At 53.8% G+C, this 26,910-nt stretch overlaps 1 protein-coding gene across 2 annotated transcripts, besides 20 other annotated features; it reads right to left on the bottom strand.

Annotated features, from left to right (window-relative positions):
- Positions 74-123: an enhancer, noted in NCBI's record as "active region_19060". NCBI's record gives its function as "activates an Ori minimal core promoter by ATAC-STARR-seq in GM12878 lymphoblastoid cells {active_cell/tissue: GM12878}" and the evidence as "EXISTENCE:reporter gene assay evidence [ECO:0000049][PMID:35858748]".
- Positions 200-701: an enhancer, noted in NCBI's record as "H3K4me1 hESC enhancer chr22:39919051-39919552 (GRCh37/hg19 assembly coordinates)". NCBI's record gives its function as "activates a minimal SCP1, AML or CMV promoter by ChIP-STARR-seq in naive H9 embryonic stem cells {active_cell/tissue: H9 hESC(naive)}" and the evidence as "EXISTENCE:reporter gene assay evidence [ECO:0000049][PMID:30033119]".
- Positions 1,575-1,624: an enhancer, noted in NCBI's record as "active region_19061". NCBI's record gives its function as "activates an Ori minimal core promoter by ATAC-STARR-seq in GM12878 lymphoblastoid cells {active_cell/tissue: GM12878}" and the evidence as "EXISTENCE:reporter gene assay evidence [ECO:0000049][PMID:35858748]".
- Positions 1,725-1,774: an enhancer, noted in NCBI's record as "active region_19062". NCBI's record gives its function as "activates an Ori minimal core promoter by ATAC-STARR-seq in GM12878 lymphoblastoid cells {active_cell/tissue: GM12878}" and the evidence as "EXISTENCE:reporter gene assay evidence [ECO:0000049][PMID:35858748]".
- Positions 4,237-4,446: an enhancer, noted in NCBI's record as "active region_19063". NCBI's record gives its function as "activates an Ori minimal core promoter by ATAC-STARR-seq in GM12878 lymphoblastoid cells {active_cell/tissue: GM12878}" and the evidence as "EXISTENCE:reporter gene assay evidence [ECO:0000049][PMID:35858748]".
- Positions 5,297-5,346: an enhancer, noted in NCBI's record as "active region_19064". NCBI's record gives its function as "activates an Ori minimal core promoter by ATAC-STARR-seq in GM12878 lymphoblastoid cells {active_cell/tissue: GM12878}" and the evidence as "EXISTENCE:reporter gene assay evidence [ECO:0000049][PMID:35858748]".
- Positions 5,767-5,996: an enhancer, noted in NCBI's record as "active region_19065". NCBI's record gives its function as "activates an Ori minimal core promoter by ATAC-STARR-seq in GM12878 lymphoblastoid cells {active_cell/tissue: GM12878}" and the evidence as "EXISTENCE:reporter gene assay evidence [ECO:0000049][PMID:35858748]".
- Positions 6,007-6,056: an enhancer, noted in NCBI's record as "active region_19066". NCBI's record gives its function as "activates an Ori minimal core promoter by ATAC-STARR-seq in GM12878 lymphoblastoid cells {active_cell/tissue: GM12878}" and the evidence as "EXISTENCE:reporter gene assay evidence [ECO:0000049][PMID:35858748]".
- Positions 6,077-6,296: an enhancer, noted in NCBI's record as "active region_19067". NCBI's record gives its function as "activates an Ori minimal core promoter by ATAC-STARR-seq in GM12878 lymphoblastoid cells {active_cell/tissue: GM12878}" and the evidence as "EXISTENCE:reporter gene assay evidence [ECO:0000049][PMID:35858748]".
- On the bottom strand, positions 6,247-9,902 carry RPS19BP1 (ribosomal protein S19 binding protein 1). 2 transcript variants are annotated; one of them, NR_130151.2, is made up of 5 exons: positions 9,841-9,902; positions 9,549-9,677; positions 7,618-7,708; positions 6,974-7,071; positions 6,247-6,777 (listed from the first exon to the last, which is right to left on the bottom strand). NR_130151.2 is itself a non-coding variant. In NM_194326.4 (4 exons), exons 1-4 carry the CDS (start codon positions 9,890-9,892, stop codon positions 6,646-6,648), a joined length of 411 nt encoding a protein of 136 aa, NP_919307.1. In that variant the 5' UTR covers positions 9,893-9,902; the 3' UTR covers positions 6,247-6,645. The 2 variants fall into 2 exon arrangements, 1 of the variants encoding a protein (NP_919307.1); NM_194326.4 differs by lacking the exon at positions 7,618-7,708.
- Positions 6,617-6,866: an enhancer, noted in NCBI's record as "active region_19068". NCBI's record gives its function as "activates an Ori minimal core promoter by ATAC-STARR-seq in GM12878 lymphoblastoid cells {active_cell/tissue: GM12878}" and the evidence as "EXISTENCE:reporter gene assay evidence [ECO:0000049][PMID:35858748]".
- Positions 9,116-9,631: an enhancer, noted in NCBI's record as "H3K27ac hESC enhancer chr22:39927967-39928482 (GRCh37/hg19 assembly coordinates)". NCBI's record gives its function as "activates a minimal SCP1, AML or CMV promoter by ChIP-STARR-seq in naive H9 embryonic stem cells {active_cell/tissue: H9 hESC(naive)}" and the evidence as "EXISTENCE:reporter gene assay evidence [ECO:0000049][PMID:30033119]".
- Positions 9,357-9,486: a silencer, noted in NCBI's record as "silent region_13759". NCBI's record gives its function as "represses an Ori minimal core promoter by ATAC-STARR-seq in GM12878 lymphoblastoid cells {active_cell/tissue: GM12878}" and the evidence as "EXISTENCE:reporter gene assay evidence [ECO:0000049][PMID:35858748]".
- Positions 9,632-10,147: an enhancer, noted in NCBI's record as "H3K27ac hESC enhancer chr22:39928483-39928998 (GRCh37/hg19 assembly coordinates)". NCBI's record gives its function as "activates a minimal SCP1, AML or CMV promoter by ChIP-STARR-seq in naive H9 embryonic stem cells {active_cell/tissue: H9 hESC(naive)}" and the evidence as "EXISTENCE:reporter gene assay evidence [ECO:0000049][PMID:30033119]".
- Positions 9,667-9,826: a silencer, noted in NCBI's record as "silent region_13760". NCBI's record gives its function as "represses an Ori minimal core promoter by ATAC-STARR-seq in GM12878 lymphoblastoid cells {active_cell/tissue: GM12878}" and the evidence as "EXISTENCE:reporter gene assay evidence [ECO:0000049][PMID:35858748]".
- Positions 9,937-9,996: an enhancer, noted in NCBI's record as "active region_19069". NCBI's record gives its function as "activates an Ori minimal core promoter by ATAC-STARR-seq in GM12878 lymphoblastoid cells {active_cell/tissue: GM12878}" and the evidence as "EXISTENCE:reporter gene assay evidence [ECO:0000049][PMID:35858748]".
- Positions 10,047-10,096: an enhancer, noted in NCBI's record as "active region_19070". NCBI's record gives its function as "activates an Ori minimal core promoter by ATAC-STARR-seq in GM12878 lymphoblastoid cells {active_cell/tissue: GM12878}" and the evidence as "EXISTENCE:reporter gene assay evidence [ECO:0000049][PMID:35858748]".
- Positions 11,898-12,192: a silencer, noted in NCBI's record as "tiled region #14739; K562 Repressive DNase unmatched - State 5:Enh". NCBI's record gives its function as "represses a minimal TATA promoter and a strong SV40 promoter by Sharpr-MPRA in K562 cells {active_cell/tissue: K562}" and the evidence as "EXISTENCE:reporter gene assay evidence [ECO:0000049][PMID:27701403]".
- Positions 11,898-12,257: a biological region, named in NCBI's record as "Sharpr-MPRA regulatory region 14739".
- Positions 12,058-12,107: a silencer, noted in NCBI's record as "silent region_13761". NCBI's record gives its function as "represses an Ori minimal core promoter by ATAC-STARR-seq in GM12878 lymphoblastoid cells {active_cell/tissue: GM12878}" and the evidence as "EXISTENCE:reporter gene assay evidence [ECO:0000049][PMID:35858748]".
- Positions 12,168-12,257: a silencer, noted in NCBI's record as "silent region_13762". NCBI's record gives its function as "represses an Ori minimal core promoter by ATAC-STARR-seq in GM12878 lymphoblastoid cells {active_cell/tissue: GM12878}" and the evidence as "EXISTENCE:reporter gene assay evidence [ECO:0000049][PMID:35858748]".

Consider the following 26,910-nt stretch of genomic DNA (forward strand, 5'->3'; position numbering starts at 1 on the left):
GGCCACGATGGCTGATTCATGGGGCCCTGGAGCCGTATAGTTGGCCATTTATAGTAAGCTGGGTCCTTTGCCCAGAGCTGAGTGCTGGTTGTGTAGGGGGAGGAGGCTGGAGATCTCTGGGAGATTCAGAGGGAGGGACAGCCTGGGCCTCCACCTGTTTATTCAAGAGGGCTTCATGCCAACAGCTGTCGCATAAAACCCTGAATAAGGTTGCACGGTCTTTGAGATAGCACACAAGATTAGGTTTCACTTGTTACCTGAACAGTTCTGCAGAAGCCTCATCCTGAAGAAAGAAATGGCTCCTTTTGGGAATTGATGCTGAAACAGGACAGGAGCTGAGGGTTGGCCTCCGTTTCTCCTTACGGGGTGGAAGGATGACAGCCTGCGCAGGTTCTGGCTAGAGCTGGGCACAAAGGCAGGCAACAGTTCCTGTGAAGGCTGTTGTGCCTGCTGCTATCTAAACTAGGAGGCCTGACGGCCTCGGGACATGTTAGGATGGATCAGTGCTTAGAAGCCACACCTCACTGCAGCTTCGGACTTCTGGCGGGGCGACTTCGCCTTTCCAGGCAGGCGATGTCTTTTGTCCTGTGTTGCGGATGAATGCTTGAATGCAAAGATCAGCGCAGCCCGGGTAGGTCTGCCCTTCCTCTTGTGTCCTTCGGGATTAGCCTCGTTTTCCGTCTGTGGAAGGTGGTGTAGACCGGGTGTGCCTGGGGAATGGCTGGGAGGAGAGTGAGAGTGAGTGCAGCCCAGGCACTGCTGTAACTGAGCACAGCACATGTGTTCTTTCACCCAGTCCCCGCAGCACACCCGTGAGGCAGACGCCACACCCAGGAGGAATTTTTTTTTTTTGAGATGGAGTCTGGCTCTGTCGCCCAGGCTGGAGTGCAGTGGCGCGATCGCGGCTCACTGCAAGCTCCGCTTCCCGGGTTCACGCCATTCTCCTGCCTCAGCCTGCCGGGTAGCTGGGACTACAGGCGCCTGCCACCACGCCCAGCTAATTATTTTTGTATTTTTAGTAGAGAGGGGGTTTCACCGTGTTAGCCAGGATGGTCTTGATCTCCATCTCCTGACTTCGTGATCCGCCCGCCTCGGCCTCCCAAAGTGCTGGGATTACAGGCGTGAGCCACCGCCACCGCGCCCGGCCTTTTTTTTTTTTTTTTTTTTTTTTTTTGAGACAGGGTCTCTCCGTTGTCCAGGCTAGAGTGCAATGGTGCATTCTCGGGTCACCACAACCTCCACCTCCCGGATTCCAACGATTCTCCTGCCTCCGCCTCCTGAGTAGCTGGGATTACAGACGCCCGCCACCACGCCCAGCTCACCTAGGAGGATTTTGAGCAAAGAGGTAGAGCTGGGATTTGAACCCAGGACGGCTCCAGTCTGGGCTCTTCATTTTGCCTCTTGAGCTGGAAACAAATGGCCCGTAACGACCTGCATGGTGGGGCCCACGTGACCTTTCTGGTGCCCAGCATAGACTGTCACCTGAGAGCCAACTGTTGATGGAATGCATGCAGCTGGTTGTGGAGAAGTGGCCCGAGGCACCACTGGGAGTGGGCATCACACATGGGTCTTGGACCTGGTGCTCTTTGAGGTCTTTCCTGTTGAGATTCTAGAATTCTCCAAAGGCCATGGGCCTCCATCCACATCCAGGTACTAAATAGGTGTTAGGGTGTGGCCAGGAGCATCAGAGTCATCCAGTGCCAGTGGGGGTCGGCCCTCATTTGGCAGACGAGAAACTGAGGCACCAAGAAGGGCAGTGCAGGCCAGTGGTGTGGAGCCAGGATGCTGGGGCTGTGCCCTTCCCAGGCCCCTGCAGCTAAGTCCTCCCACACCCAGAAGGCACCAGCTCAGGTCACAGTGGATTTGCCCTTCTCCCTGACCTCACCTCCTCCCCTCACTGTGCTCCCGGCCTCTCTCCATCTGTCTGCCAAGCTTGGTCCTGCCTCAGAGCCTTGCACTTGCTGTTTTTTTGTAACTTTTTTCTCCATTGAGTTTATCTGTATACAGATGAACTTTCTGTTCTCCATTCCCTAACTACAATATAAGCTCACTCTATGGCAGCAGGTATTTTGCTGTCTTGTTCATTCCCGTATTTCCAGGACTTACAGCAGTGCCTGGGAAATAGCAAAAATGACTGCAGCGAAAATGTTCAAAGAGCTCTGAGGTTCTAGGCGCCTTCCAGTGATGAGCTCAGAGTCCTCCTGAGAGGCTGTGAGGAGGGTCTTATGACTGTAACCCTCTTACTGATGCAGCTAAGACCCAGACTTAGGCACCCCCTTGGGAAGTCTGGCCTATGGGTGGACACTGGCCCATGGGCAGGTGGTATAGGCAGTGATAGTGGCCTGGACAGACCGGCTGGATTTGGCTAGGCAGATATCTGTTCCGGAGAGCCCAGCACAATAAGGGGTACGGGAAGAGGGGGCAGAGATGAAGTTGATGTCTGGCCACCACCCTGCATGTGGCAACTTGTGGCCCCTGCCAGGCCTTGGCCAGCCCAGCCTAGGCTGACCAGGTCAGAGGTGGAGCTGGGCTTTACCCAGTGACCAGGGGCCCGGGGCTGGGGGATAGGAAGGGACCTCACAGGCGGGAGCAGACAGCACTCAGCATTTTCTCCTGCTTTGTGTCTGGGACAAGGCTGTAGGTTGTGGAGAGCAGAGAACGACCTTCATCTTTTCTACAACTAGTCCTGAGTGGGTGCCTGCTCTGCACTACACTGTCTGGGTGCTGGCTACAGCAGTGAGCCAAATAGATAAACATCCCTGCCCTCATGGAGCTTTGCTTCTGGTAAAGGAGACAGGTGGACCCTAAAAAGAAGAAAGAGGTGACGTGTCACATTCAGATGTGACACAGCAGCTGGGTAGGGCTTGGACATGCTGGGCATGCTCCTTAAGACTGGTGCTTAGGGAGTTGCAGGGGTCAGCCCGGCAGGGGACTGGGCTGGGATTGGCAAGGAGAGGCGGCCAGGATATGGGTGTGAAGAGAGGGAACCCCCCCGCTGCCAAACAAGAGAAAGGATGGAGGGCCCATTTCCTGAGATGGGGAAAACCATGGGAAGAGCATGATTTTATTTCAAAGAGGCCAGGGAGAAATAAAAAGTCCCTGGCTTTGGGAGGCCAAGGCAGGTGGATCACAAGGTCAGGAGTTCAAGAACAGCCTGCCCAATATGGTGAAACCCCTATCTCTACTAAAAAATTAGCTGGGCATGGCGGCACGTGCCTGTAATCCCAGCTACTCGGGAGGCTGAGGCAGGAGAATCGTTTGAACCCAGGAGGCAGAGGTTGCAGTGAGCCAAGATCACGCCACTGCACTCCAACCTGAGTGACAGAGTAAGACTCCCATCTCAAAAAAAAAAAAGAAAAAAGAAAAAGCCCTTGCAGTGACACTCAAGTGCCAACCACCCTTGCCCAGGTGCCCCATGAGGTGGGGTGGGGGCTCTCAGCCTAGTTGGGAAACGGAAGGTGGATGCTTAGACCAAGTAGAAAGTGGCAGCTTCAGAAGAGAGAGCAGGGCCTCCCAGCTGGGCTTTGAGGGGTGGGGAGAGTTGTGGACAGAGAATGAGAACACCCCATGAAAGTCAGCCGGGCAGGCTGGGCGCGGTGGCTCACGCCTGTAATCCCAGCACTTTTGGAGGCCGAGGTGGGCGGATCACGAGGTCAGGAGATCGAGACCATCCTGGCTAACATGGTGAAACCCCGTCTCTACTAAAAATACAAAAAAAATTAGGTGTGGTGGTGGGTGCCTGTGGTCCCAGCTACTCAGGAGGCTGAGGCAGGAGAATGGCTTGAACCCAGGAGGCGGAGCTTGCAGTGAGCTGAGATGGCGCCACTGCACTCCAGCCTGGGGGACAGAGCGAAACTCCGTCTCAAAAAAAAAAAAAAAAAAAAAAAAGTCAGCCTGGCAGGAAAGAATGGGGCACACACCAAGTGCCACAGTCCCACTGCCTGTGGCGGAGGCCTTTGCCCAGGCTAAGCTCTGAGCCTGCAGCTGGGCCTCAGCAGAGTCCCATGTTGCAGTCCTGGCCCACTCCTGCCTGGCCCCCTTGGCCAACTCCTCTAGTAGCAAAGAGGGCCAGAGAGTGTGGGGGCTTGAGCAGCCCATCCCACTGTGGAAGACACAGGAAGCCATGGCTGGGGCCCTCCTCTGGGTCATGGGGTGGCTTCCTCAAACCCTGCTTCCCCAAACCACCTGTGACGCTTCCGGTGCTTTCATACCCATCCATGATGTCTAGACTGAGGGAGGCCTCCTGCTTTGTCCTGTCGGCCCTGGGTTGAAGTGACAACTCAGTGTCCTCTTTTTTTGAGACAGGGTCTTGCTGTCACCCAGGCTGAGGTGCAGTAACGCCATCTTGGCTCACTGCAGCCTCTGCCTCTCGGGTCCCAGTGATCTTCCCACCCCAGCCCTTTTCCCCACAAGCAGCTGGGACCATGAGTGCACACCACCATGCCCAGCTAATTATTGTATTTTTTTTGTAGAGATGGAATTTTGCCATGTTGGCCAGGCTGGTCTTGAATTCCTGACCTCAGGTGATCCACCTGCCTCAGCCTCCCACAGTGCTGGGATTACATGTGTGAACCACTATGTCTGGCCTCAGTGTCCTCTTATTTGGGCCCTGTTGGTCACCAGGTCCTGGCCATCACAGCACCTCTTCGGCCCCCCATGGGGACAAACCCTCTCTCCTCCAGTGCTACCCCAGTCACCCCAGCTCCCTGCTGCCTTCCAGACAGCTGCACCAGAACTGCTCAGGGTGACAGTTAAAAGGCAGACTCCTCAGTGTCCTGTCCTTGACCCACTGGACCAGAGTGCCAGCAGTAAACACAAATGACTGTCACCCAGAGGGGCATGGACAGGCACCCAATAGTGTTATTTGGCATTAAGTGTAAGATTTATGGGGAAGCTCACAAGTGGGGAAGCAGCAGGACCCTGGCTCCCATCCTCCTCGTGGGACAGTGCCTGTCACTCTGCACTCTACACAGGGAGGGAGCAGGAAGAACACCTGGGCGATTATGTAACAGTGGGCGTGTTCTTGTTAGAAAGGGGCCCTGGGCCTATGGTCAGCCTGTTCTTCCAGGCGCTAGAGGCTGAGTTGGCTTTTTGTTAAGCCGCTTAAAATATTAAGGCCACTAGTCTCCACGGATATCCAAGTTTCTCTGCCCAGTGGGGTCATTACAGCCCAGCAGGCAGGAAGAGGCCCTGGTCTCTAAGGTTTGGGGTCACAGCACACTCCCTCCCCATCCCCCTGCTGATGGAGGTCGCCTGGAGACAGGACCTGACTCCAGCTCTGCCCCCGGAAGATGTGTGGCCCCCTCATGTCCTCATTTAGGATGGAACACGGTTAAAGACCAGGAACAGACCACCCAGGGCAGTGGGGGAGCAAGTGCTGTTACAAATAACAGGCCCGAAGGCAATGTCGTCAGGGAACCCAGGGAGCCAGATGTCACTCCCATCAAACCCAGCCTCAGGGGACTGCCAGGCTCTCGACCAGCAGCAATGGGAGTCACCACAGCAAAGGAGCCCTTAGGCTATGGTGGGGAGGAGAGAGTTTAGGAGACAAAAGCAGCTGCCTGAAGGCTTCCCAGGTCCCTTCCCCTCAGGCCCCCTGATGAAAGACTCCTGGGCTCTCACTTCTCACCTCTCCTCCGCTGGCCCTGCCTCCGCTTCCGCCTCCTGTCTTCACTCACACAGTCATTCAGTGCCTGCCTGTCCTTCACCTCCTGATCCCACCCCATGCCTGCTGGAAGGGTCCCGCCTGCCTCCCCTCGCCTCCATCCTTCAGCTCAGGCACACCTGAGTGTGAAACCGTTTCTTCAGGTTACCTCCTGAGTCCTCTCTACTGTCCCCTCCCCACTATGACAGGCATTTGACCCCACCTGGCTGCTCACCAGAGCATGAGCCAGAAAAGGAACACACCGGGTGAAATGCTCCGCTCATGGCGGACTCCACGCTCCCCGGGCGCAGGCGGAAGTAGCAACACTCCCACTGCCGGACCCAGCCACCTGCACTGGAACTGCTCCCAGCAGCTATTTTTGCCTCAAGAGTCACCTTTTCAGCTGTGGTGGCCATCCCCAGAGGAGGGAGGCGCCCCTGGCAGCAGAGGTGGGTGTTCTGATGGCTGCCTGCCGGGGCTGGACTGGAGGACTTGTGACCCGGAGCTCAGAAGCACGCTGGGAGATGGGGAAGGCAGCGTGGCGCTTTGGTGCCACAGGAGATGGGAGACACCCTGTGGGGCAGACCAGCAGCAAACACAGCTCTTGGGTTCACATTTATTGTAACTTGGAAGCCCACCCTTCTTCCTACTCCTGGAGCTGTCGTCCCCAAGGGCTCAGGAATTAGCCTTGCTCCACAGCAAACAGCCCAGAGGCCCCACCTGGGCAAAAGCAAACAAAACAGATACGTTCCTTTCCGGCAGGTGCAGATGCTCTGCCCAGGCCTGCGGAAGCCAGCTCCGGTCTGTGTGTAAATCCTCCCCAGGACTTCCGGCCCACCAGCTCCATTCCAGCCTCCACTCGGCTCAGCTCCGCGGCTTCCTCGAGCCAGGCTGGTCCTGCATCGCCATCTGCTGGCCGCGCGGCACGGCCGGTTCCTGGAGCCAGCAGGAGTCGGAGGCTGCAGGGCTTGAAGGCCTCTTCACCGTGCCCTCCAGGGAGCCTAGCTGCCGAAGTATTCCTGCTGGAACTTCTGGAAGTCTTCCTCGGTGAACACGGTGCCCTCAGCCTTCTTCTTCTTGGTCTTGGCCACAGGCCGGTCACAGGCCTTGCGGCCCCGGTTCTGGCGCAAAATCTGGCGAGGGTGCGGGACCGAGGGCCCATCATTTCAAGAGCAGAGGAGGCCCGCAAAGGTCACAGGGGAGTTCGGCGCAGGGCAGGGCTGGCCCAGCCTCCCACCCTATGCTCAGGGCTGAGACCGCCATGGGTCCCTAGGGGAACAGCCTCGGCTCTCACCTCCCAGGTCCCTTCCTATAGTACCCTCGACCAACCTGCTGGCTCACAGACTCAGCCACGGTGCTTCTCGTCCTGGTCAGAAACTTCAGGTTTACTCTGAGGTGGTCTCGACACTCTCGCTTCCGGTACTCGTCTGTGGGTAGCAGGCAGGGAGCACCATTTCAGATTCACTCCCCCTGGAACCATTCTCAGTCCCTGGCCCATGGCCCTGCCAAAGACCTCATCGTTCCCTTCCCAGGTTATTACAGCGGCTGGGCTCTTCTCCATCAAATGCATTCTCCACACAGGTCCTGCTGAAAGCCCCAGGCTCTTGGCCCCCACCCCCATTTTCCAACAATTATGTCCTGAATACTACTCACCAAGGGAGCTACTCTGGAGCTTTCGCTTCAGTGAGAGATGAAGGACAAAGGACCCAGTATTTTAGAAGCGCAAACATTTCATGGAGAAAAACAAAAGAGGAAACAGAAAAGGGGAATTCCAGGGGTGGAGGGTGCAATTTCAAATAGGAGGGAATGAGAAGGTCTCACTGAAATGACTCGAAGAGAGCTGTGGATATCCGGGGAAAGAGCATTTGTCTAGGTAGAGGGAACACCCAGTGCAAAGGCCCTGAAGCAGAAATGTGTCAAATGTGTTTGAAAAACACAAAACAGCTGGAATGGCTGGGTGCGGTGGCTCACACCTGTAATCTCAGCACTTTGGGAGGCCGAGGCAGGCAGGTCACCTGAGGTCAGGAGTTCGAGATCAGCGTGGCCAACATGGTGAAACCCCGTCTGTATTAAAAATAACGAAAATTAGCTGGGTGTGGTGGTGGGCACCTGTAATCCCAGCTACTCGGGAGGCTGAGGCAGGAGCATCGTTTGAACTCGGGAGGCTAGAGGTTGGAGTGAGATGAGACTGCACCACTGTACTCCAGCCTGGGTGACAAAGCAAGACTCCATCTCAAAAAAAAAAAAAACAAACCAAAAACAACAACAAAAACAGCTGGAGTAGGGGGAGTGGGTAGCAGGAAGAGACCAAGTTTGGCTGGGGGTGGGGGTAGGTCATATAGCCCTTGTCAGGCACCCTAAGACCGCCACCTTTTAGTGACTACAATGAGAGCCACCCAGAGGAAAAACAAGGAATGACTTCTGATTTTACACGATCACTTTGGTTGCTGTTGAGAACAAGATTACGGGGGGAGGGGCATGTGGAAGGCAGGAGACCGGCTAGGCTTCTGCAATAATTCAGGCAAGAGACGATGCAGCTTGGAGCAAAGTGGCAGCTGCAGAGGTGTTCTTTCCATTGGCTGCGAGGCTTGCCATTCCTCTCACTCAGCATCTATGTGCCAAAACCTGTGGTGGACACCAAGGCTGCGGACAAGCCCAAGGAGGTGTGTGCCTTTAGGAGCTTCCATCCAACAGGGGAGGTGGGTGAGCACCCAGGACACGACAGTGAGACAAGGGCTGGGACAGATGGGAATGACCTCTGGCACTCCACACTCCTGCTTCATGGCAAGTATCGCTGGGGCTCAAACCTGTCTCACTTTCCTGCCTCCAGACTTTGGCTTAAGTTGTATTTCCTCCTTGGAATTCATAATTCTTTTAACAAATACTTTAACATCTTTTATGCATTAGACTCTAGGGATTCAGACACAGTAAGAGCTTGCCACGTCCTGACACATGTCAAAATATCACCATCTTGCCTACACCAGCCCCTCCGAAAGTCTTTATGTCTATTAAGTGACACTACGTCCCCCAAGAAACTAGGCTCCACCTTCACAGCCAATTCACCACTAAAACCCCTCTAAAGGCTGAAATTCTCTGCTGCCCCCTCTTTAACATATTTTCCACCTGCACAATTCTCTTGTTATCTCTGCTGCTATAGCCACTGCCCAGGCCACAGCATGTCCTATTTCAATGGAGTAGGTAATAGCAGCACTCTGGAGACACAATGCCCGGGCAGCCACAATGCCTGTACCACCTGGGCAGGTGCCTTTTTCTGAATCTGTAAAACGGGGGTGATAGTAGTATCGACCTCAAAGGGCTGCTGTAAGGATCAAACGAGCTTACATTTGTACAGCACTTAGAATCAGCACCTGGTACAGAGTGTTAGTGAATGTGTTTAAATGCTCCATCTTTGATCCTCATTCACTAGGTCACCTTTACCAGCCTTTATTTTTTCAAATTCTCAAAGGCAACAACCTCCTTTCTGACTCAGGACCTTTGCACATACTATTCTTCCTAGAATATTCTCCTACTTTTCACCTAGCTCACTCTTATACATCCTTCAGCTCTCGGCTGAAATGTCGCTTCCTCAGAGAAGGCTGACTTGGCCTAAGTCCCCATCAGAGTACCGTAGTCTTTTAATTCATAGGCTTCAATGCACTTAGCAATGACACACTGGGTTTGATATTCTTTGATGCTTCTCTCCCCACTAGGGCCGTAGTCCACGAGGACCAGGACGGTGGCGTGTTCTGTCACCTTCGTATGTCCAGGGCCCCGCTCCGCGCCTGGCACACAGTAGGTCTAGCAATACCGGGCGAACGCTTCAAGCCCTGCCTCAAGCGCCACCTCCTCTGGGGCGCAGGTCCCAGCACCGGAGGCAGCACTTTCAGCCCCTTCCCGAACTTACCCAGTGCCGACTTGGGCACCTTTCCCTTGGCCGAGTTCCGCAGTTTCTGGGCCTGAATTGCCTTCGTCTTCCGGGGCCGTTTCACCGGAGCCCCTCTCGGCTTGGCCTGACCTGGAGGGTCCCGGGGGGCTGTAGGGGAAGAGAGAGGAAGAGACCCAGGTCAGAGGGCGCGCAGCGTTCCCATGCCACTGGGGCTAAGCCCGGCCTGGATTGTTTTCCATCCAGGGCTCCCGCCCGCAGCCACTACCATCCTCCTGCCCGCGCCGGACGTCCCCTGGCCAGCCCTCCTCACCCTCGGACGCCGCCAGCAGCTCCAGGCCCCGCCGCAGCAGGGCGGCGGACATGGCGGCGCTTGGCTCCGCCCACGAGCCTCACACTACTTCCGACCTGGCAGTCCCTGTCGTCTCGGCGGAAACCCGAGCCCGAACAGAGGGATCCGGAGGGGGATGGGCGGAAGTGCCCATCTTTCTTAGGACGCATGCGTTAGGGGTTTACACTTGAGCGGAAGAAGGGGCGGAAACTGGAGGCGGGTCCAAGGCGCAGAAAGACACATGTGTTACTCAATCCCAATCTACCTGGCTCCTGGCGCTCAGTCCCCTCCTTCCCCGGAAGCCGTCCGCAACCTGCTCCGCCGGGTTGGCCAATCCTCTCGGGTCTCGTGGCTCCGTGGCGGGCTAGGATGGGGACAGGGCGGAGTGTTTTTCATATACTTCAACCAGCACTAGGTATCGCACAGGTTGAGTGCAGCATGAGAATCCAGTTGTCTTCCCTTAAGCCAGACATTAAAGACATATCTTTGTTTTGAAAACTACAATTATTTCTCATAAAATACGTTGTTTATGTTACCAAGCAATGGGTTTATTGTCATTTTAAGTGAATTAATGAATATGTAAAATTTTTGTTTTAGTTTCTAGTATGGCAAATATCAGTTGCCTACATACAAAAGTTCTTTGGGATCCTGAATTTTTTAAAATTTATTTTATTTAATTAAATTAATTTTTTTTTTGAGACGGAATCTCGCTCTGTCGCCCAGGCTGGAGTGCAGCGATCTCGGCTCACTGCAACTTCCGCCTCCCGGGTTCAAGCGATTCTTTTGCCTTAGCCTCCCGAGTAACTGAGATTACAGACGCCCGCCACCACGGCCGGCTAATTTTCTTTTTAAAAAATTTTTAGTAGAGACGGGGTTTTGCCATGTTGGCCAGGCTGGTCTTGAACTCCGGACCTCAAGTGATCCGCCCACCTCAGCCTCCCAAAGTGCTGGGATTACAGGAGTGAGGGGATTCTGAAGTTTTAAATGTAAGAAGCTTCTTAGACCAAAACATTTGAGCCCCTCTGGCCTAGAAGTGACACTGCTTACCTGGGGGAGGAGCCCTGGGCTTGTTCGCTGCTCCATCTGCAGCTGGCAGCCCAGCACCTGGCATGGAGAAGACACGCAATAAGTGAACGGTGAATCAGAAGGGACCACTGGGTTCACTCAGCCGGGTTCTGAGGGCCTTCTGTGTACTTGACACCACAGAGTGTGGGACCTGGAGTTCGTCCTCCGGGATAGACCACACCGTTTAAGCTCCATCGGCTAGAGAGTAATAATAACAACCAACACAAACTCAAGCATTTGTGCTGTTCTACGTGCTTTACATTTGTTAACTTGTTTATCCCCCCTACCCTTCCAGGTAGGAATTGTCTTTTGCATTTTACAGACGAGGAAACAAACACAGAGAGGCGAAGGTCACACGGGTGGAGTCAGGGGTGGGAGTTAAGACTGGCAGCCTGGCCGCAGGATTTGTGGGGGCGCTCCTGTCCCAGCCACCAGGGAGAGCAGTGCTGTGGTGCTGGGTGGGGCCTGTCAAGCCATGGGGTCAGGTAGGCCCCTGGAGGGTGAGGAGGAGCTGACCATGTATGGGCAGCGGGGATTGTTCTAGGCGGAGACCGCTGTAGCGAGGACCTATCCCCTGTGACACACGAGTGGCCCTTCAGGATGCCATGCTGGGCTGGAGGGTCGCAAAGGCCTCAGACTCCATGATTTTGTCCTAAGGGGAGTGTGGGGCCTGGAACCCAGTGACTGTTCAGACATATGCCTCCTTCCTGCTTCTAACATAGCCGGATTGTTGTCTTACTTATTATGTGTATTGCGTATTGTCTGTTTCCCCGCCCATACCCCACTGTAAGCTCCGCAAGGCAGGGATCTTTGTTTTGTTCATTGTTATATCCCTAGCGCCTGGAACAGTGCTTGGCATACGGTAAGAGTTCAGAAACGCACGAAATGAGTGGATGAGAGCTGAGTTTGGGACGCCAGTGAGCCGCTGGGTTGAGGCCCAGGAGGTCGTGGGATGTGCAGCGAGTCAGCCTCTCAGGAGGGCAAAGGACCAAGCTCTGTCCTCCTCCCGATCTAGGCTGAATCAGCCCACGGTCCCCCGGGTGGAGGAGTTTTCTGCCAACGTGCCAGGTGGACCCCTGCAGCGTCCGCAGCCCAGCCGGGCACGGGCGGGACGGCAGGCCAGGCGCTGCCCCAGCCTCCCGCGGAGTTATCAGCACATCCGCGGGGCCGGGCGCATTTCTGCCAATAGGTGGCGCCGCAGGACAGCTTTCTCACGCGGCGAGACTCCAAGGCCTCAGCTGCGCCCACCCGGGCTAGGTGGGGGTGGGGGTCCGGACGTCCTTCTGCCTCGGCTGGCTCCTTGCAGCCAGCACCGTGTGGCCCCGGCTTCCTGCTGTCCCGCACCCCCTCCCACTCTCACCCTGGCCTGGAGGAGTGGCTGGGGAAGCTGAGGCAGAGCCACCAGGCTGGGCTGCCCAGGGCGGGGGGCGAGGTCCCTTCCTGAAAAGTGTGCAAATGACAGCTGGGAGCTGTGTGACCCCAGCAATCCCTTAACAAAGAGTGCCTCAGTTTCCTCATTGGTTGGATGGGGCTTGGCAGGGCAGCATCCCCCTTCTAGGAGAGGTGTGAGAACCGGTGGATCAATACCGTGCCGTGTGGGCCGGGCCTGGGTGGGTCTGCGCCCAGGGACTGCGTGTAGAGGGTGCTACAGCGCTGCCATGCTACCTGCTCCCTCTGGGCAAGACGGGATGGGCAGGGGCAGCCACTGTTGGGCCCAAGCAGATCACCCCACAGCCCGCATTTGGGCACCTGCGACCTGCCAGTCTTGACGTTGGCCCTGATGGGTCAAGCTGGGGGAGGGGGAGGGGGGTTGGGCAGCTGCTTCCTGTCTCCCTGTGGGAGGGCGGGTCATGAGGTCTCCCAGGCTAGTTCCCCACCTGGCATGACCCTGGATGAGCGGCTTCACTGCTCTGAGCCTGTTTCCACACTGGGTCCCTGCCTGCCCCTGATCCCCGCACTGAGGCTTTTGGCCACACAGAGGAACCATCGCCATAAAGGGCCCTTCGGCCCCCATGCCCTATGTCTCCTCCCAGGCTCCGTGAAACAGCTTAACTACCCTGGGCCTGGGAGGCTGAGAGGCAGGTGGCTTTCTGCAGGGCTGTGCAGCCCTTCAAGAACAGAGTCAGGACTCAAGCCCAGGTCTCCGGGTCCTAAGCAAGAGTATGTGTGTGGCCCCCAGGGACCAGTGGCCCCCTGGAGAGGGGACCGTAGGGTCTCTGGGAGGTGAGCAGTTCTGGAGAGGGTGTCCTGGTGGTCTGGGGCTGGCACAGATGCCCCGGTTTCCACAAGGCCTCGGCTCACACAGCTGTGTGTCCACAGGCAAGCCGCCCTCCCTCCCCTAGCCCATTTCCTCTTCCGAGGTTTTGGGGGCTTTAGAGAGTATTGTCCAGTCCTCCATACAGGGCCGAGGCGGGAGGCGCCCGGAGCTCCTGGCTCCTGTGGTATGAAGGGAGCACTTGCTCCAGAGCCAGGCTGTACATCCTGGCTTTTCCACTTACTAGCTGTGTGACTTTGGGCAAGTCCCACAACCTCTCTGTGCCTCGGTTTCTTCGTTTATGAGTTGACTATGATAATAATCCCTACCTCATAAGGCTGCTGTGAGGATCGAGGGTTGAGCATTTGGAATTCCGTTGGACGCAGAATAAGCACTCTAGTTTGTGAATCAGTGATTGCTCTGTGGACAGCAGTGTGCCGGTGGGACCTGGGCCCCCATCTGTGGGTGTGACCTGCACTTGTATGTCGCCTCTGGATTTCCACACTCTTGTGCTCACACACGGTTAGGTTGGAGGCCACAGGGAGTAACACCTGACAGCCTGGAGTCGCTGATTCCCGTTCAGACGCCGCCTTTGCCGCTTAGCAGATGTGTGACCTGGGCACCTACCTCACCTTTCTGAGCTTCGAGGGGGCGCTTGGGGTCTGTTGGAGGTGCAGTGAGGTGGCATGAAATGTGCTCAGCACCAGGCCTGGCATTTATTCATCTGTGCAGTCAATAAATACCTGCTGATACCACTGACGGAGCAGCCAATAGGAGAAAAACCAGCCAGCATTTGCTGAGCGTGAACCAGGAGCTGCTCCACGTGCAGGAGGCGGGCATTGGGGTGAATGAAGGGCTCCGTTGGGCCTGGCGGTGCCCACATGCTCGTGTTACACTCTCAGCAAGTGTGAGTCTCTGTCGTCCAGGGTCTGCAGGGTTCAGGGTGGCACCCACCAGTCCCAGGGACAGCAGCCCCCTCAGGGCATCCAGGCAGAGGCCAAGTGGCTTCTTTCCAATCATGTGAATGGTGAAATAGTGGCATGCCTGATTTTAAGGGTATAATGAAGACACAGAAGAAGCTACTGGAAATTATCCATGGAGATATGGGGTCAGCCAGTAACCCCCGGGTGGGGGTCAAAGGTGGGGTCTTTTTAATGTCTCCACCCTGACCAGCCAAAGATGCGGCTCTGCCATTAAGCTACTGTGTGAAGTTTTTTTTTTTTGTTTTTTTTTGTTTTTATTTTTTTTTTTTTGGAGAGCAAGTCTTGCTCTGTCCCCCAGGCTGCAGGGCAGTGGCGCGATCTTGGCTCACTACAACCTCCTTCTCCTGGGTTCAAGCGATTCTTCTGTCTCAGCCTCCCGAGTAGCTAGGATTACAGAGGCCCGCCGGTGTGCCTGGCTAATTTTTGTATTTTCAGTCGAGACAGGGTTTCACCATGTTGGCCAGGCTGGTCTCGAACTCCTGACCTTAGGTGATCTGCCTGCCTTGGCCTCCCAAAGTGTTGGGATTGCAGGCATGAGCCACCAGTGCCTGGCCTGCTGTGTGATCTTGGGTACATTCCTCCCAGTCCCTGGAGAAAGATGGGGCGGAGTCCCCAGTCCTGCCAGGTCCCCAGGGCCACTGAGATGTTAAGAGGTTACAGGAAGAGGAAAGGGTGAGCTTGGAAGACTGAGGGGAGAACTTGGGGGCCCCTTAGCAAGCAAGCACCCCTTCCTCAAGCCAACTTGTACCCAAAGACCTTACCAGTAGGTTGGGGTCAGATGGGAGGTCCTTAGGCAGAGCGGATGTCACCTGGCTCTGGGAACTTGACCTCGCTGTAAGATCTAGAATAAGTCCCTCCTCTATTCTGGGCTTTGCTATCCCCATCTGGGCAGTAGGGACAGACATAGCACTTTGTCGCAGAGAAAATATCCCTATAGGGCTTTGGGAGAGGAGGGCGTGGGGAGTGGGTGGTTCTGGGGCCTCAAGATCTCTGTGGTGGGGGTTCTGGCTCCCAAGGGGCTAGAATGGGGTTGGGGAGAGTTCTGTCCCTTCTAATCTCCGTCCTTTAATTCTAATTATGTCTCCATTAAAATGCAAATTTCCAACCAATACCCTTGGAAGGGAGGCCCTGTTGTCATAGCAACTGGCGTCTGTGGGGTGGTTGGGGAGAGGAGCAAGTCTCCATCTTCTGATCCTTCCAGACCAAGCTGGGGCCTGCCCAGAAGCCCCTTTCCTCCCCAGCTCAGAACTCTGAGCATCTCATCCACAGCTTGGGGGGCTCCTGCCCTGAGGCCATGTCTTCAGGGAAAGGGAGCTGGGTAACCATGCACAAATCATTTCTCCTTCTTGGCCTCAGTATCCCTATCTGTGAATTGGAGATAACAAGTCCTCTCTTGCACGCCCGTCCTGGGGATTCAGTGAATTAATGTATGAGCCATCAGGGAAGGGAGTCTGCCTTCCAATGAGGTTCCCGGGAACTCCCTGAAGCCAAGGCCTGGAGGCCTGGACCGCTCCCTGTGTGGGGTCAAGGCTGTCTCCTGCCTTCAAGTCCTACTCCCTGCTCCATCTGTGGACAAGGAGCCAAAAAGATGGTGTAGGACGTACCTTTAAGGCCTATGTAGACTCATTTCTTCAGGCTGAAGCTTCCATCCTGCTAATCATGTAACCATTTAACTTTATGCTGTTCTTTCCTTGCAAGTTGGATATGGATACCTAGAAAATGGGGAGGGGGTCTTTCTTCTCCCAGCGGATCTGAAAACAAGGGAGGATAAAGAGAAGAAATTTTAAGAAGGGAAAAGACAGCTGGCAAAAGAAGCAGCAAGAGGTGAATATGTGAGGCCTTTTTGCCTCTGCTGGTAGGAAGCTCAGGTTGGAAATTATTATTCAATTGTCCTAAGTGTAATTTATTACATGACTGTATTATATCCCTATATTATTCAGCTCTAATAAACGTTCATGTCAACTTTCTAGTACATCTAGCTCATGCCTATTCCCTAGTGGTTTCTGATCTTTTATTTCACTTAAAAAATCCTCTTTAGAAATAGCTGAGAGTATAAATTATAAATTAGCAATTATGACAGAGAGAGAGAGAAAGAGAGAGCATGCACAGCTGTTCTGTGCAGACCTTTCAGCCCCTAGGCTTCCATGATTGTGGCCTTATACTAAGTGCCAGGAGGGGAAGGATATACGCGGTCTTGTTCTGTTGCCCAGGCTGGAGTACAGTGGTGCGATCTAGGCTCACTGCACCTTCTGCCTCCTGGGCTCAAGCAATCCTCCTGCCTCAGCCTCTGGAGCAGCTGGGACTACAGGTATGCACCACCACACCTGAATAATTTTTTTTTTTTTTTAGTTGGAGTCTTGCTCTGTTGCCCAGGCTGGAGTGCAGTGGCATGATCTTGGCTCACTGCAACCTCTGCCTCCTGGGTTCAAGTGATTCTTCTGCCTCAGCCTCCAGAGTAGCTGGGACTACAGGTGCGCGCCACCACGCCTGGCTAATTTTTGTATTTTTAGTAGAGATGGGGTTTCACCATATTGGCCAGGCTGGTCTTGAACTCCTGACCTCGTGATCTGCCTGCCTTGGCCTCCCAAAGTGCTGGGATTACAGATGTGAGCCACCTTGTCTGACCCACACACGGCTCATTTTTGTATTTTTTGTAGAGGTGGGGTTTCACTGTGTCATCCAGGCTGGTCTTGAACTCTTGGCCTCAAGTGATCCACTGCCTTGGCCTCCCAAAGTGCTGGGATTACAGCTGTGAGCCATCACACCCAGCCCAATTTTGCATTCTTAACATTGAGCTGGTGAGAATGCATCCCATCAAGAACAAAGGTGAGCCCCTGCCTCTAAAAAAATTAAAAAAAAACCCCAACTATTGTTGTATTAAAGTTCTGAGATTTTAGAATTTTGATAGCATAGCCTAACATGTACTGACTAATACATCTTCCAGTTCCCCTCGTGACAGTCCCCCTTGATCCCTCTGGGAAGCCAGGCTGGGGCTCTGGCATGGTCTGTATCACAGGAGGGGTACAGAGGCACAATGAGGAGCAACAGGCTTTGCCACAGTTTCAAAGTCACATGCTCACTCAGTCTTCCAAACCATTCCCCCTGTGGGCTCAGCCTTCGAGAACACAAAGGACTAAGAAGCCTGCGCCTCAGCCTCTCCACTTCCCTGGCCAGGAGCTGAGCCTTCTTCCAGGCCCTGGGGTTTCCTCAGCCACAGAGGAATCCACACCTGGGGATCATGAGGTCGCTGGGAGGTGGACTTAGAGAAGAATGAGTGTTGGGGCTTGGGCTCCCTACCGTGTACTAGGTGCCAGCCTAGGACAGTCCGCCCCTCTGGGCCCCCTTGGCCAGCAGAGAGAAGGTGCAAAAGTGTGCTCCTGTTCACCCTGCATGGTAGAGCTGAGCGTGCAGGGAACAGGGCCTGAGGAGGTCAGGGGGACTTCCCTGAACCCCAGAGCTCTTGGGTAGGTGTGTTCGGAGGGCTGCATCTGTGTGAGGTGCCCTGGACCAGGAGGCAGGATGTGGCCAGAAGGGAACTGTAGGAGCTCAGAGGAGAAAAGAGAAAAGAGTTGAACACTGGACCAACAAACTCCACGAAGACCCCCAACAGGGGGCCAGTTCAGTCCATTCCAGCCCGTGGTATCCAACCCAGGAGATGCTCCCTGAGTCTCCATTTTCTGTCCCTCAGGGCTGGGCTTTGGAGACACAGAAAAGAGTGGTGCTGTCCCTGCAGAGAGACCCTGCCTTGGTGTGATAAGGGCTGGTGGTGCCAGAGTTGGAAAGGAGGGGAGGCAGGGAAGGAAACCAGCTGGGGGCCTGAACACCAGGCAAAGCATTGTTACCCTGAGGGCAGCACTGGCTATGTAATATGTGGAGCCCACAGCAAAATAAAAAGGCAGGGCTTGGCCGGGAGAGTGGCTCATGCCTGTAATCCCAGCCCTTTGGGAGGCCGAGGCAGGCAGATCACTTGAAGTCAGGAGTTTGAGACCAGCCTGGCGAACATGGTGAAACCCTGTCTGTACTAAAATATACAAAAATTAGCCAGGTGTGGTGGCAGGCACCTGTGATTCCAGCTACTCGGGAGGCTGAGGCAGGAGAATTGCTTGAACCTGGGAGGCAGACCTTGCAGCGAACTGAGATCACGCCATTGCACTCCAGCCTGGGTGACAGAGTGAGACTCCATCTAAAAAAGAAGGGCGGGGCCCCTTGTTAGAAAATTGTTAAACATTTCGAGGTGGCCACAGCAGAGCATTAGCCAAGCATGAGGCCCTTCTGAGGGTGGGGCCTTGTGTGACACTGTGTGTGGCTCTCTCTGTGAAGGAACCCTGCTCACAGGCACACAGAGCTTTGGAAGAGTTTTGGCTTCGGCATTTTCTTTTTCTGTTTTTTTTTTTTTTTTTTCTTTTTTTGAGACAGAGTCTCACTAGTAGCTGGGACTACAGGTGCACACCACCACGCCTGGCTAATCTTTTGATTTTTTTTTTTTTTTGAGACGGAGTCTTGCTCTTTCGCCCAGACTGGAGTGAAGCGGCACGATCTCGGCTCACTGCAACCTCTATGCCCCGGGCTCAAGCGATTCTCCTGCCTCAGCCTTCCGAATAGCTGGAATTACAGGCGCCTGTCTCCACACCTGGCTAATTTTTGTATTTTTTTTCAGTAGAGACGGGGTTTCGCCATCTTGGCCAGGCTGGTCTGCAACTCCTGACCTCAGGTGGTCCACTCGCCTAGGCTTCCCAGAGTGCTGGGATTATAGGCATGAGACACTGTGCCTGGCCTTGATTTTTTGTAGAGATGAGATCTTACTGTGTTGCTCAGGCTGGTCTCGAACTCCTGCCTTCAAGTGATCCTCTGCCTTGGCCTCCCAAAATGTTGGGATTATGCAAGTGAGCCACTGCGCTTGGCAGCTTGGGCATTGTCTAAGACATCCCACCCTCCGCCCCCAGTTAGCATGGTGGCTTCTAGCAGGGACTCTGGAGGCAGATGGCCTGGTTCAGATTCTGTCTATGACCAGAGGCCAGAGACTTACCCTGCCTCTGCCTCAGTTTCCTCATCTATGAAATGAAAAGAATAATCACACCCACCTCAAAATGTGGCCAGGAGGGTGGGGTGAGAAACCGCCAGCCAGGCAGGGCAGTAATTACTCCACAGGTGGCAGCCATTGACACAGCCCTTGACGCCCCCCAGCCCCCACCCAAACTCACAGCTTACTTCTTCATCTTGCTTCTTGTCTGTCTTTCCCCACAGAACGTAAGCACCTGGGGCTTCGGTCTGTCTTGTTCCTCTGCTGTGGCTGGAGCCCCCAGTGGTGCCTGGTAGATGCATGACACCTACTATGTGCCAGATGCCATTGTTGAATGAATGAATAAGTGTCAAACCATTTGTTTAGGTTAAAAAAAATCTGTTGAGTGCTACTATGTGCCAGGGGCCGTTTGGAATGTGGAGGAGGTGGGGTGTCATTCTGTTGCCCAGACTGGAGTGCAGTGGTGCAAACACAACTCACTGCAGCCTTGATTTCCTGGGCTCAAATGATCCTCTCACCTCAGCATCCCTAGTAGCTGGGGCCACAGGTGCATGCCACCATGCCCGGCTAATTAAAACTTTTTTTTTTGTAGAAACAGGGTCTCATCATGTTCTCTAGGCTGGTCTCAAACTCCTGGCTTCAAGCAATCCTCCCACCTTGGCCTCCTAAACTGCTGAGACTGCAGGTGTGAGCCACCCAATACATCACTTTGAGAGGCCGAGGTGGGAGGATTGCTTGAACTTGGGAGTTCGAGGTTGCAGTGAGCCATGATCACGCCACTGCACTCCAGCCTGGGCAACAGAGAAAGACTCTATCTTAAAAAAAAAAAACAATCCCGCCAGGCTCACACAGGCAGTGGCTCACGCCTGTAATCCCGGCACTTTGGGAAGCTGAGGTGGGCAGATCACGAGGTCAGGAGTTCAAGACCAGCCCGGCCAACATGGTGAAACCGCATCTCTATTAAAAACACAAAAATTAGCCAGGCATGGTGGCATGCGTCTGTAATCCCAGCTACTCAGGGGGCTGAGGCACGAGAATCGCTTGAACCCAGGAGGCAGAGCCTGCAGTGAGCCAAGATCGTGCCATTGAACTCCAACTTGGGTGATAGGGCGAGACTCCATCTAAAAACAAAAACCAAAAAACACAAAAAAACAAAAAACCCCAAAACAAAAGTTAAGTCAGATAAAGTGCCTGCCAAGAGAAGACCTCAAGAAACGCTCACCAGGATTATGATCATACGGCCATCTGCAACCAATTCCCCGGCTGCGTGCGCGAGCCCTGTGTGCTTTCCAGTACCACGTGGGGGCGTTCTCCTCTGTCCCTTACTTTCTCTACCCCCTGCCTCCCCGACCCAAAGCTCAAGTCTGAAGGGGGATTTCTTGCAGGGAAGCAGTGGTATACAGAGTTCTGCAGGAAAATGAGAGCTTCTAGTCTCTCCTTCTCCCTTCTGTGAAACAGGAGAGGAAATCCTCCCTCCCTCTTGGGAATTACTGAGTGTTTCTCAGACTCCAGCTGAGTCTCCAGTCCCTAGTTCCTCAGAGACCCAGATGAATTAAAGTTGTAAGTAAATTAGGAATCGTTCATTATTTGATGGCTGGGATCCTTTGGCAGGTGGAGTGGTGGAGGAGGGGAGGTGGGGCCATCTTCCTGCTGGGCTCAAAGATTCTCTCCGGAGAGGTGTGTTTGGCCCAGGCCAGCCCAGGGGCCTAAGAGAGAGAGCCGGCCCCCACTCCTCCTGCTCAGAAAGATCCTTCCCACAGTCTCAGATACCACTGTCTTCCTGGACAATCTTGCAAGAGGCCTTTTCTCTCTCAGCCTTAGTTTTCTCATCTGCAAAATGGTACCAAGGGTGGGGGGGAAGATTCTATTCAATTGTCTTTAAGGTTGATTTAGGCAGTAAGTTTCTTTTTCTTTTCTTTCCTTTTTTTTTTTTTGAGATGGAGTTTCGCTCTTGTTGCCCAGGCTAGAGTGCAATGGCGCAATCTCGGCTCATTGCAACCTCCGCCTCCCAGGTTTAAGGGATTCTCCTGCCTCAGCCTCCTGAGTAGCTGAGATTACAGGAATGAGCCACCACCTCAGCTAATTTTGTATGTTTAGTAGAGACGGGGTTGGTCAGACTGGTCTTGAACTCCCGACCTCCGGTGATCCACCCGCCTTGGCCTCCCAAAGTGCTGGGATTATAGGCATGAGCCACCGTGCTCGGCCTTCTTTTCTTTTCTTTTCTTTTTTTCTTTTTTTTTTTTTCTTGAGACAGAGTCTCGCTCTGTTGTCCAGGCTGGAGTGCAATGATGTGATCTCGGCTCACTGCAACCTCTGCCTCCTGGGTTCAAGCGATTCTCCAGCCTCAGCCACCCAAGTAGCTGGGACTACAGACGCACACCACCATGCCCAGATTTTTTTTTTTTTTTTTTTTTTTTTTTTTTGAGATGGAGTCTCACTCGCCCAGGCTGGAGTGCAGTGGCGCGATCTCAGCTCACTGCAACCTCCGCCTCCCAGGTTCAAGCAATTCTCCTGCCTCAGCCTTCTGAGTAGCTGGGATTACAGGTGCGCACCACCACGCCCAGCTAATTTTTGTATTGTTAGTAGAGATGGGGTTTCACCATATTGGTCAGGCTGATCTCAAACTCCTGACCTCGTGATCCACCCGCCTCTGCCTCCCAAAGTTTTGGGATTACAGACGTGAGCCACCGCGTCCGGCCTGCCCAGCTAATTTTTATATTTTTAGTACAGATAAGGTTTTGCCATGTTGGCCAGGCTGGTCTTGAACTCCTGACCTCAGATGATCTCCCCACCATAGCCTCTCAAAGTGTTGAGATTACAGGCGTGAGCTATTGTGCCCACGTCCTTCCAGGCTCAAGTGATCTTCCCACCTCAGCCTCCTGAGTAGCTGGGACCACAGGCGTTTGCCACTATGCTCAGCTATAGGCAATACGTTTATATCCATAAACTTGGACATCTCTTCTTCTGTAATACCTGCGATACTGTTTTTGTTCGAGGAACCAATTTGTACCCCCACCCTAACCCTAGGATATTCAGCCAAGTATTTTTCTCATATAGAAGGACAGATAACTAAGTGAATCGGTATGGCAGGCTCTGTGCTAGCTGCTGGGGGTGCTGCAATGAGTTATGGTATTTCCTGCCTTCCAGAAGCTCCCTCTCCAGTGGGGGACACTGGGGAGCTGGGCCTCGAAGGAGAAAGGAGGGCACTCCAGGTTGGGGGGAGCAGCATGTGCAGAGGCCTGGAGGCATGAGTCAGTGAGGGATAGGGAAAGTGTAACTGACCTCTGAGGAGCAGGTGTGTGCCAGCCAACGAGGCCCCTTTGTCTGACCAGGGGAAGGGAAGGTTAGTGCTCCTCTCCCTCCCCAGAGGAAAACAAAATTTTAGAGACTGTCAGAAATGTGATGGAGCTGTCAGGAGAACATGAAACAGCCACGTACCCTGGGAAACGGAAGTCACAGCTCTGTTTGTTCTGTGACAGTGTGAAAACTCACAACCTTTTCATCGAGATGGGTAACGAAAACATGAGAAAACTGGAAGTGCTTTGGTTTGGCTCAGCTGAGGACATTACTCCAAGCCCGCCCAGGCTCTCCCCTCCGGCCTGGATTCGTTTCTGTGTCAACACTCGCCCAGCCTTGCACAGCCGGGCACACGGGCGTCTCCCTCTGCAGTGGTTCCCCGACTTGTCGGCCATCTTCGCTGGTGGTGTTTTCCTTGGTCACTGTGGTTATTTGAAAGCGATGTCAAAGCAAACACTGCTCTCTCTCCCTGAAAACCCCTGGCAGGAGCTGCCTTTCTCACCGTCCCTGTCCTTCGTCTCCTCCTGTCCCTTCCTTCCTGCCGCAGCCTCTTCCCTCAATCCTACTGAACTCCTTCCTGGGAGAGGTTAGGGCGGGAATCGCCACCTTCCAGGGCACGGAGAGGCGAAGCGGAATTCAGCACCACGGACAGCAGCCCGGCGCGCAGTTGGCGTGCGGTTGGCTCAGGAAGTTATTCTGTAGGTTTTGTAGGTTTATGACCCGCTGTTGGGTAGCAAAAGGCCTTGAACGCTGACTCAGGAGGTCGGGGTGCAGGGAGCTGGATCGGGGGTGCTGATGATGTCGGAGGAGCTCCTTGTGGATCTGGAGATAATTTTCCTATAAAATTCCCTCTCTCCTTTGTTTCCAAGACCCTTGACCACACTTGCACCTTCCCCTACCACCTCTCCCTCCACAGTTAATAATAACATACATGTGTCTGTGTGTACTCGACAGGGAATGCGAACGTATTTGCGTGAATCTGTACCTTGGTGTAATAGTGTATTTAATACAAGTAGTATCTGGGTGTACGTGTGAGGATGTTTGTGGGATTTGTGGGTCTGTGTGAACGTGTCAGTCTCTGTGTCTGTGTGTGTGTGCACATGTGGGGCTGCGAGTGTCTCCGTGGATTTCTTCTCCTTTAGGGGAGGGCAGCTCTGTGCCTGGGAAGTGAACGCTGTGGGTTAAGCATCGAAGACCACCCTCCCCACCAGTTTTCTCTGGAGGGTCAGGATGCAGGGGGATCCCTAGACTCAGGGATCGAGAGATTATTTGCCAATGGTATTCACTCCCTCCTTTGTTTCCAAGACCCTTGACCACCCCTCCACCTACCCCAACAAGTTTGAGTGCATGCATGTGCACACATACACACACATACACACTTCCACTTTTTCTGTGGTCTGCAAGCCTTGGCTCTTGTTTTTTCTCCCTTCACACCCCACTCTCCCCTCTCCAGCCCCTTGTCATGGGTCCTCAGCCCCACTACCCCAGGCCTTCATTCCCTTCTTCTGGGGGAGTGTCTGGCCTGGCAGCCACAGGAGACTGGCGTGGTTCATCTTATACTTGCCTGCTGTGTGACCTTGGGCAATCATCGCCCCCTTCCACTTGATTTCCTGGCTTCAGAAAGGGGCTCTTTGGACCATGTTATTTCTAAGCTCAGAGCCCAACCCCATGGTCAGCTCCTAGCACTGACTCCCTAGTGGGAAGAACTGTGGGCCAGGTTAGGATGTGTGCCAATGGCTGCAGGAGAGCACAGGCAGCACCCTGTGGGCATGGAGAGGGAGAGGAGGCAGGGGCTCTGAGTGTGTGTAGAGGGGAGGGGAGGCGAGGGTGGGAGGAAGAACACAGGAGCTGCTGGACCAGAACAGAAGAACCCCTTGCCTGTATATTTAGCTCATCGAGGAATATAAACAGAAACCTGGAGCTGGCTCAATGCTCCCCCCGAAGTGTGAGTCATCACTGCTGCTGCAGCTAAAGTTAGGCTCCAATCACAGGCTCCCTTCTCCTCTCACTCCTCTTCATCCTTCTTGGTTCCCTTATTGCCTCCTTATCTCTTTATCTCATTCTCCTCATCTCTCCCCTCTCCTCTCCTGTCTTTCTCCCCCAATTTTTCACCTCTTTGATGCTCTAAACTCATCCCCTCCCCATCAGTCAGTTCCCTCCTCTTCCCTCTCCTTTGATTTTTTTCTATCTTCCTCCTCTCTCTCTCTTTTCCCTCTGTCTCTAGTACCAATGTCTTTCCCTCTTCTCGAGTGCATTTGGGAAAGGATCTATTTGTGCTTGTGTTTGTGTGAGGGTGAACTTAATAATAATAACATGATGTGTCTGTGTGTACTTGAGAGGGAGTGTGAATGTATTTGTGTGATTTTGTATCTTGGTGTGAGAGTGTATTTAACAAAAGTGGTATCTGTTTGGGTGTACACGTGAGGGTGTTTGTGGGTCTGTGTGAATGTGTCAGTGTGTGTATCTGTGTGTGCACACGTGGGAGTGTGAGATTGTGTGTCAATGTCTCCATGTGTTTATTCTCCCTTGGGGGGAGGGCAGCTGCATGCCTGGGAAGTGAATACTCTGAGTTAAACATCAGAGACCACCCCCAAGTTTGCTCTGGGGGGTCAGGGTGCAAGGGGACCCCCAGACCTCTGCAGGCTGAGATTGAGGTGGTTGCAGGCTCTGGGCTTATCTGGACCTAGCTGGGCAAGGGGAGTGGGGTGGGCATGGGCTTGGCTTTCAGGCCCTGCCCTGTAACTTTCTGCTGTGTGACCTTGGTCCAGTTTCTTGGTTTCTCTGATTCCTGCTCTGCATGTGCCAGAGGTGTGTGATGAACCTGCTCCCCTCTGCAGGCTGGGGCCTGGTGGGGGCAGTCAGGGAATTCACAGGCATGGGGGAGTAGTGAGGACACGCTAGTCACCGGATATCCTGAGGACTCTTGTTCAAGTCTGTGCCTCATAGGGGTTGGCTCATCTGCTTCCCAAATGTCTATTTATAATTTATGCCGACTTTCAAATGGAATTGGAGGCTGGGCCCCCCACTGGAAGGGCCCCCCTCATCTGAATCCGTGGATGGCCATGCCCACATTCAGGGTACATCTTCAAAGACACTCCCTGCAGGGAGCTCCCCCTCGGAGAGTGTGCATCTGCCTCCTCCATCCCTCCCTAACATCCCCCACCATGGCCTGCCTCTGCCCTCCATGAAGGGATTCCTGGAAAGGTTTTATGAAAGGGAGAGAGTGTGTGAGAGTGTGTGAGAGATGAGAGATGGACGGGAGGAGCTGAGAGAGGCGCCTGGTGGCGGGCAGGACAGCTGGAGCCCCAGGCTCTGCTCAGCCAGCCTGGAGAAATATCTGGGTCCTCAGCTGGGTAGGTGGGTGCAGATGTCAGGGCCCTTTGTTTCAGGAACCAAGGAACCTGCACAGCCTTTTTGCTCCAGAGTGACACCTTTCTCCCAGTCTATTCTATATAGCAATGAGGGCAAGCTTTTTAGGATTTTTTTTCTTTTTTTAGAGATGGGGTCTCACTCTGTTGCCAGGATGGAGTGCAGTGTCGTGATCATAGCTCACTGCAGCCTCGAACTCCTGGGATCAAGCTATCCTCTTGTTTCAGCCTCCTGAGTATATATCTGACACATGGCACTTAGTACAGGCACATGCCACCATGCCCAGCTAATTTTGAGATAGAGTCTCGGTCTTGTTGTCCAGGCTGGAGTGCAGTGGCATGATCTTGGCTCACTGCAACCTCTGCCTCCTGGGTTGAAGCAATTCTCCTACCTCAGCCTCCTGAGTAGCTGGGATTACAGGCGCCCGCCGCCATACCTGGCTAATTTTTGTACTTTTTAGTGAGACGGGGTTTTGCCATGTTGGCCAGGCTGGTCTTGAACTCCTGACCTCAGGTTATCCACCCGCGTTAGCCTCCCAAAGTGCTGGGATTACAGGCGTGAGCCACCGCTTCCGACCGCCTGGCTAATTTTTTTTTTTTTTTTAAGACAGAACCTCGCTCTGTTGCCAGGCTGGAGTGCAGTGGTGCAATCTTGGCTTACTGCAACCTCTGACTCCCTGGTTCAAGAGATTCTCCTGTCTCAGCCTCCCAAGTAGCTGGGATTACAGGCACACATCACCATGCCCAGCTGATTTTTGTATTTTTAGTAGAAACAGGGTTTCACCATCTTGGCCAGGATGGTCTCGATTTCCTGATCTTGTGATCTGCCTGCCTCAGCCTCCCAAAGTGTTGGGATTACAGGCGTGAGCCACCTTGCCCGGCCATGCCTGGCTAATTTTAAAAATGATTTTGTAGAGATAGGGTCTCACCATCTTGCCCAGGCTGATCTTGAACACCTGGGCACAAGTGATGCTCCTGTTTTGGCCTCCCAAAGTTCTGGGACTACAGGCATGAGCCACTGTGCCTGGCTGCTTTTTAGGATTTGAGTCACACCATGTCCCTGAC

Source organism: Homo sapiens, chromosome 22 (genome assembly GCF_000001405.40).
Source record: "Homo sapiens chromosome 22, GRCh38.p14 Primary Assembly".
Lineage (NCBI taxonomy): Eukaryota > Metazoa > Chordata > Mammalia > Primates > Hominidae > Homo > Homo sapiens.

What these genes read in the sequence shown, in the direction of transcription:
- RPS19BP1 (NM_194326.4), bottom strand. Translation starts at nt 9,892, where the DNA reads ATGTCCGCCGCCCTGCTGCGGCGGGGCCTGGAGCTGCTGGCGGCGTCC. An exon ending in GCTGCTGGCGGCGTCCGAGG is followed by an intron (nt 9,678 to 9,840) that starts GTGAGGAGGGCT and finishes CTTCCCCTACAG; the next exon opens with CCCCCCGGGACCCTCCAGGT. An exon ending in GGTGCCCAAGTCGGCACTGG is followed by an intron (nt 7,072 to 9,548) that starts GTAAGTTCGGGA and finishes TGCTACCCACAG; the next exon opens with ACGAGTACCGGAAGCGAGAG.